At 41.9% G+C, this 8,450-nt stretch overlaps 1 protein-coding gene across 9 annotated transcripts in view; it reads left to right on the top strand.

Annotated features, from left to right (window-relative positions):
• The first annotated feature begins 1,226 nt into the window (after positions 1-1,226).
• The window catches only part of TXLNB (taxilin beta), a 164,789-nt gene continuing 157,565 nt past the window's right edge, over positions 1,227-8,450 (top strand). For all 9 annotated transcript variants that reach the window (XR_007059217.1, XR_007059220.1, XR_007059216.1 and 6 more), the window contains exon 1: positions 1,227-1,450. The gene's annotated coding sequence lies outside the window, so the exon portion shown is untranslated. The remainder of the gene's footprint in view (positions 1,451-8,450) is intronic.

The following is an 8,450-nucleotide window of genomic DNA, read 5'->3' as shown; positions in this document are numbered from 1 at the left end:
GAGCTCTGCTCTTAACCACATATTACTCCATATCTGTTTCTTTATGGCAGCAAAAGACAAGACTCCAGCAGTGGTTCAGCTGTATAATGGGAATATGAATATTCCAGAACTTTCTGTATGCCAGGTGATTGAGAACAACAGTCTCTTAATATTACCTGGCTTTTAAAAGTATTGGCATACATTTGAACTAAAGATTTTTTTAAAAAATAAAATCTGTCCAGGTGCAGTGGCTCACGCCTGTAATCCCAGCACTTTGGGAGGCCGAGGTGGGAGGATCACGAGGTCAGGAGATTGAGACCATCCTAGCTAACATGGTGAAACCCCGTCTCTACTAAAAATACAAAAAATTAGCCAGGCGTGGTGGCACGTGCCTGTAGTCCCAGCTACTTGGGAGGCTGAGGCAGGAGAATGGCATGAACCCAGGAGGCGGAGCTTGCAGTGAGCCAAGGTGGTGCCACTGCACTCGAGCCTGGGTGACAGAGCAAGACTCCGTCCCCCCCAAAAAATAAATAAATAAAAAATGAAATAAAAGGTAATCTCTTAAAAAAAATTATTCTGCATTCAAGTTAAAACCATTGAATGTAGTCCCACGGGCCCTTGTCCTGGGAAAGCCACTGTTCAATCAGCAGCTGTTTATGGGAGATTGAACAGGGAGAAAAAACTAACAAAAATTCCTGCCCCCATGCAACATACAGGAGAGAGGAGAAGACACAGAATAAACAAGGAAATAAAACTTTCCTTTCCAGAAACAATAACAGACCAAAAAAAAAAAAAAAAAAAACGGGGGGATTTTGTAAAATGTCATCCTGAACTAGTCACAGTTAAAAAAAAAAATTAAATGAAAAAAATATATATGTATGTATATATATATACACACACATTGAATACACTCCACAAAAGAGGAGGCTCCTCTCTGTCCCCAGAGCTTGGAAGGAAGCTAGAAGCTTCCGGCAGAAGATTCTGAAAACAAAGCTAAGCTCAAGCATTAATGGGCTGCATGTTTAACATTTGGTGCTAGAATAAGGTAGTCAAAGATGGGAATCATAAAACAATGTCAGTATCCCAGAACACTTTTCCAAGTCAAAGTGGAGTTGAAACAGTTAAACAGACAGTCATCTGAATAAACAGGAACCTGTTTCTATGGCGATGACAATGGGGGAGGGGCGTGACTCCTATCTACCTTCCCTGCGCAAAGCTTCTGGGGGCGTGTTTTGCTTTATGGGACCCTTTCCAAACCCTGACCACAGCAGAAAGGACGGGGATGAGCACTGACTGGAGCAATCTGTTGACTGTCCCCTGTTGTAAACCACAGCTGCCTAATTTTGAGAAACAGGGGCCGAGCCATCAGATGTAGGGGAATGGAAGCTGATGCCAACGGAAGCCCGGAGGTAAACTAGGGCCCCGGAAAAACGAAGAGGAAACAGAAATTATGAGTAAGCAGCGGAAGTTGGTAAGTAAGCCTAGAGAAGACAATGCAGCAGATGTACAGAGAGAAACCACGTGCCTCGTGATTCTTGGTGACTTTCCTGCTTGTCCCCAGCCCAGGTCCACATGTTTCTTTATTATTATATAAGTAAATAAAAAAACTAAACAAGCCTGGGCGCGGTGGCTCACGCCTGTAATCCCAGCACTCTGGGAGGCCGAGGCGGGCGGATCACGAGGTCAGGAGATCGAGACCATCCTGGCTAATACTGTGAAACCCCCGTCTCTACTAAAAATACAAAAAATTAGCTGGGCGTGGTGGCACGCACCTGTAGTCCCAGTTACTCGGGAGGCTGAGGCAGGAGAATTGCTTGAACTCGGGAGGCGGAGATTGCAGTGAGCCTTGATCATGCCATTGCACTCCAGCCTAGGCGACAGAGCGAGACTCCGTTTCAAAAAAAAAAAAAAAAAACTAAACAAATTCTTTTTCTTGGGGTCACTATAATACATCTCTAGAGGTTTCTTGCAAACAAAAGAGCCCAAACCACACACTGAGCCCCATCCCTTCTTCATCTCGTGCAATGTCAACACCAACAAAATGATTTCCTATGTATTTAAGGAAGGATAATCATAGTCACTGGTCCAAAATGAAACTTCTTACTGAAATGACAATTGAAATTATTCCTAGTCAGTTCACAGAAATGCTAGTTTCTTATTTTAAAATGAGGACAGATCCAAAAGAGATAAAGGGATTTAGGGAAATGGACATTTAGAAAATTGATAGCCCCATGGGCCTCTGTCCTGGGGAAGCCACTATTCAATTAGCATCTGTTTATGGGGGATTCAACAGCAGGGAAAACCCAGCGAAAATGCCTGCCCCCATGCAACATACAGGCAAGAGGAGGAGACAAAGAATAAACACAGCAAATAAGTAAAATGTACAGAAAATGTGCAGTGTGTTTTTTCTACAGAAAAAGAAGGAACAAGGGGGATATAAAGCTGGGCTGGGGAGGCATCGATATTTTAGGGGAGTGGCCGGGAAGGCAGTTGTTACTAAGATAATTTGGATGAGAGGTGGTTGAACTCTGCACCGTATTGAGGATAGAACTAATGGGACTTTTGTGTTGGATCAGATGTGGGATGGAAAAGGAAGAGAGGAGTCAGGCATGAGTCCAAATTTTTGATCTGAGTAACTAAAGGATGGAGTTGCCATTTTCTATAATGGGGAAGACTGGAGGAGGAATTTCTTTAGAAGGGAGGTGGGGCCTAATGGGAGGTGTTTAGTTCATGAAGGCTCTGCTTTTATGAATGGATTAATAATGGATTAATGTCACTATGGAAAGGGCTGGCAGGAGTGGGTTCACTCTCTTCTGCTCTTCTGCCAGTGTGAGGACACAACACTTGTCCCCCCAACCCTTGCCCTTCTACCTTCTGCCATGTGAGGATGCAACAAGAAAGCCCTCATCAGATGCCAGGGTGTTGATCTTGATCTTCTCAGCCTCCAGGACGGTGTGAAATAAATGCCTGTTCTTTATAAATTACCCACTCTGTGGTATTCTGTTATAGCAGTGCAACCCAGCAGTGATAATGCCGAAGCAGAGATGTCAATAGGCTGTGAAGTCAGGCATGGTGGTGCACCTGTAGTCGCAGCTCAGAAGGATGAAGTGGGACGATTGCTGGAGGCCAGGAGTGCAAGGCTTTAATGTGCTATGATGGTGCCTGTGAATAGCTACTGCACTCCAGCCTGGGCAACATAGTAAAACTCTGCCTATCTTAAAAAAAAAAAAATTAATGAATCTGTAGTTCAAGAGAGTAGTCTGAGAGGCTGGGCGCAGTGGCTCATGCCTGTAATCCCAGCACTTTGGGAGACCGAGGCAGGCGGATCACGAGGTCAGGAGATCGAGACCATCCTGGCTAACACAATGAAACCCTGTCTCTACTAAAAATACAAAAAAATTAGCCAGGCGTGGTGGTGGGAAACTGTAGTCCCAGCTACTTGAGAGGTTGAGGCAGGAGAATGGTGTGAACCCGGGAGGTGGAGCTTGCAGTGGGCCAAGATTGTGCCACTGCACTCCAGCCTGGGCAACAGACTCCATCTCAAAAAAAAAAAAAAAAAAAAAAGAGAGAGTAGTCTGGGCTAGAGACATAAATGTAAAAGTTTTCAGAAGTCTCTGTATATGAAGTCTCCATAGATTAAAAAAAAAAAAAAAAAGGAGAGCTCAGTCATAGCCCATGTGGGCTGCTATAACAAAGTACCATAGACTGGGTATTTTATAAACAACTGAAATGTACTTCTTATAGTTCTGGAGGCCGGGAGACCCAAGATCAAGACATCAGCAGATTCAGTATCTGGTCAGAGCCCATTTTCTGATTCACAGATGGTGACTTCTCACTTTATCTTCATATGGTAGAAGGCACAAGGCAACTCTCTGGAGCCTCTTTTGTAAGGGCACGAATCCCATTCATGAAGGCTCTACCTTCATGACCCATTCACCTCCAAAAGGCCCCATCTCCTAATGCCATCATCTTGGGGGTTAGAATTACAACACCTGAATTTTGTAGGGGACACCAACATTCAGACAATAGCAAGGTCCAGTGACGGAACCCCGGGGCACTTCTACACTGACAGGCTAGTATCAGGATTCAATCCATTGGATAAGGTAGAAAACCCAAATAATAGTGTCTGAAAGAACATGGATGTCTGGAGGTGAGTATTTCAGGCCTAGCAAGCAGGTGCATGACATTAACAGGGATCTAGGTTCCTTTTACTTCTCTGCTGTGCTGTCCCAAGCCCATGGCTTTCATCTTCACAGTTGCCTTAGAGTGGAATATGGCCACTGTAGCTCTAACAAATACATCTGCTTCAGGTAAGAAGAAGGAGAAAGTGGGAAAGGGCAGAAGAGCTTTCTTAGAAGTGTTACCCAATGACTTGTGCCTATGTAGCATGGGAGAGATATAGACTCTGAAGTCACCTTGTTGAGTGAGAATCATGTCTGTACCAGTGCAGAGCTAGAAAGTCTTGAGCAAGTTGATAACTTGTCTCTGCCACAGATTTGTCTTTTGAAAATGGGAACAATCACACTGCTCACCTCTAGGTTGGTAAAAAAAAAAAATGAGATTATATGCTTAGAAAATTTTCTGCCTACAGAAAATTCCCCAAAAGTGGAGTTTTACAAATTAAGTAAATGATAATCGAAATAAAAAGGAACCCATTTGATTTCCAGTGTCTCGTCTCCAACCCAGTCCCATGAATTTGGATTTTTGGTGATGGTAATATTTTAGTGAAGGAAACTTGAGTTCACTGGCAACAGTTGTGTTCCTCTAGGACTGAAAATATCAACTCATAACGAGCTAGCAAGGAAGGCAATTGTCTCACTGATTTTGTAAATATTCCTTGTGGTTTCCAGAAATTATTTGGAAACAGAAACCTAAAGGAAGAATAGATTAGTGCTCAAAATCGATAATATGAGTAAGAATATAATGTAATTGTCTACTCCCAAATTGATGAATTAGGACCTATGTGTCATACAAAATTTTAGAAAACATATAGGCTTAGTCACCACTTAGAAGTTACTTAAGTAACTTTTATTTAAGGGAAAGAGAAGTTAGAAACCAGGCACTAATATTTATTTTAAAGAGTTAATAATTTAATACCACATTGGATTTTAATAACTTTAACAAATTATAATTTAAAACAAGATATAAAATACATATTCAATAACCACTACAAATTAAGAGATATTTCAGTTATTTATATATATATGGCCATAAGCTAAATATTTATAAAGTAGTAGAAATGTATTTTTAATAACTTTTTTTTTACTTTTTATCCACTTCACTATGCTGTGTATTGCTAATCCTTTCTAAATGTCTCATTTCCTGTTGTAATTGTTAAATACTATAAATAGTCATTTATTAATTCATGTGAAATACTCATTTAAAAGGATTTACTTGTTCTCATGTTGCTCCTTTTACTTATTTATTTTTTTAGAGACAGGGTCTCACTCTGCCACCCAGGCTGGAGTGCAGATGGCACAATCATGGCTCACTGTAGCTTTGACCTCCCAGGCTCAAGTGATCCTCCTGCCTCAGCCTCCCAAATAGCTGGTACACAGGTACATGCCACCATGCCCAGCTAATTTTTGAATTTTTTTTTGTAGAGATGGGTTCTCCCTATGTTGCCCAGGATGGTCTCAGACTTCTGAGCTCAGCCTCCCAAAGTGCTGGGGTGTGGTATAAACCACCACAGCTAGCCTTATATTGCTCCTTTAACAAAGGAGGTGTGGTCATGCCACTGCACTCCAACCTGAGTGACAGAATGAGACCCTGTCTCAAAAAAAAAAGAAAGAAAGGAAGGATGGGTGCAGTGGCTCACACCTATAATCCCAGAACTTGAGGAGGCCAAAGCAGGCAGATCGCTTGAGCTCAGGACTTTGAGACCAGCCTGAGCAACATGGCAAAACCACATCTCTGCAAAAAAAAAAAAAAAAAAATTTTAAAGGGAGAAAGACATTGGCTGGGTGTGGTGCTCATGCCTGTAATCCCAGCACTTTAGGAGGCCGAGGCGGGCAGATCACGAGGTCAGGAGTTCGAGACCAGCCTGGCCAACATGGTAAAACCCCGTCTCTACTGAAAATACAAAACATTAGCCGGGCATGATGGTGCGTGCCTGTAGTCCCAGCTACTTGGAGGGCTGAGGCAGGAGAATCTCTTGAACCCAGCAGGCTGAGGTTGCAGTGAGCTGAGATCGCGCCATTGCACTCCAGCCTGGGTGACAGAGCAAGACTCCATCTCAAAAAAAAAAAAAAAAAAAAAGGAAGGAAGACAATCTAATATCCTGAACAAAGCTTTAATCTCTTAAACTCAAAAAAAGGCTAACTACCATTTGTGAATTCATCATTTTAGTTTATTCATTTATATCAACTAATATTTATAGAGATTGCTACATCAATCAATTTTAATGTGGATTTATTGGCAACAAATACACTCATATTTTGTCTGGAAAAAATGTCTTTACCTTCAGATGTTTGCACTGCTTATAGAATTCTAAGTTGGTTAGTATGCTAAAAATATCAGTCCATTGTCTTCCATTGTCATCTAGCTTTCATCAGTTTGTTTCTGCTTGGAAATAATGTGTTTTGTCCTCTGGATGCTTTTAACATTTTCTCTTTGTCTTTGGTTTTAAGCAGTTTTACCAAGGTACACACCTTGGTACCTTGATGTGCTTGGGTTTTATAGAGATTCTTGAATGTTTGACTTGATATCTTGTGTCAGTTTTGGAAGCTTCTCAGCCAGTATCCCTTCAATTATTGTTTATCTCTCATTCTCTTTCTCGTTTCCTTTTGGGGATCTAATTACACATACGTAAGAATTATCACCACTTTTCATATATCTCTTCTTCTCTTATATTTTTCATCTTTTTAATTTCATATTTCTTATTTAGCAGTTCCATAATCCTTTCTTTTCTTTTTTTTTTTTTTTTTTTGAGACAGAGTCTCACTCTGTCACTCAGGCTGGAGTGCAGTGGCGTGATCTTGGCTCACTGCAAGCTCTGCCTCCCAGGTTCACGCCATTCTCCTGCCTCAGCCTCCCAAGTAGCTGGGACTACAGGCACCCGCCACCACCCCCAGCTAATTTTTTGTATTTTTTAGTAGGGACGGGGTTTCACTGTGTTAGCCAGGATGGTCTCGATCTCCTGACCTCGTGATCCATCTGCCTCGGCCTCCCAAAGTGTGGGATTACAGGCGTGAGCCACCGTGCCCGGCCCCATAATCCTTTCTTTTACTGTCTAATATGCTGTTTAGATCATCTGATGAGATCTTTTCTTCTGTTTTTTAAATTTTTTAAAAAATTCTCACAATGTTGCCCAGGCTGGTCTCAAATTCCTGGCCTCAAGTGATCCTGTTGCCTCAGTCATCTGATGAGATCTTAATTTTGATTATTTGTATTTCTCAACTATAACTTTCATTGGATCATTTTTATAGATTCCAGTTCTGTGGCAAAATTTTATATTTATAAATCTATTTTCTTAACTCTATTATTACCATTAAAAAGCCTCTGTCTTGGCCGGGCATGGTGGCTCACGCCTGTAATCCCAGCACTTTGGGAGGCCGAGGCGGGAAGGTCAGGAGATCGAGATCATCCTGGCTAACACGGTGAAACCCTGTCTCTACTAAAAATACAAAAAATTAGCTGGGCGTGGTGGCGGGCGCCTGTAGTCCCAGCTACTCGGGATGCTGAGGCAGGAGAATGGCATGAACCTGGGAGGCGGAGGTTGCAGTGAGCCGAGATTGCGCCACTGCACTCTAGCCTGGGCCACAGAGCGAGACTCCGTTTCAATAAAAAAAAAAAAAACCTCTGTCTTTATAACTCTAATATATAGGCCATCTATTGTTTCTGCTTTAGTATTTGCCCATTTTTTTTCCTGTCTCTTGGGATGTCTGGTAATTTTTTACTTAATGCCAATCATTGTGTATGATGAGTTACAAGATCACTGGATAATATCTTCTTTTAGAGATGACTTTTTTTTTCTAAAAGACAGAGAAGCTACACATCTTGATCCAATCAGTGACTGAACTAACTAAAATATAAGAGGTCCTTGGAAATGTCTGAACTCAATTTTTGTCTCTCTCAAACACTGTGAAACTATCTCAAGTTCTGCTTGATTTCTCAGCCTCTTAGCTTCCACTTTCTGCTTTATCGCTTATATTCTCACACTGGAACCTCAGGAATAATCAGATTCCCCGAGGGAAAAAAAGAGTTGCAGAATATCCAACCCACTTTTCTGCAATTCCCTTTTCTCCAGTCTTGGATCCTCAAGTACATGACTAGTATTGAACTCCAACCTTTGCCTCCCCAGCCTTGTGAGCCTTAACTGTTCTAGGCCTTTCCTTCTGCTTTTCCTCTCACCTGGGCCACTTACATATTGAAAAATGGCTTGAAAGGACAACCCACAAAGAATGTGAGGTTTACCTCAATGCATTTCCCCTGACTCCAGAATTTGTACCATTAATTGCAGCAGTCTTAGT

This window comes from Homo sapiens, chromosome 6, assembly GCF_000001405.40.
Source record: "Homo sapiens chromosome 6, GRCh38.p14 Primary Assembly".
Lineage (NCBI taxonomy): Eukaryota > Metazoa > Chordata > Mammalia > Primates > Hominidae > Homo > Homo sapiens.
Note: the sequence above shows the minus strand (reverse complement) of the source record. Positions and strands in the feature narration are given on the sequence as shown.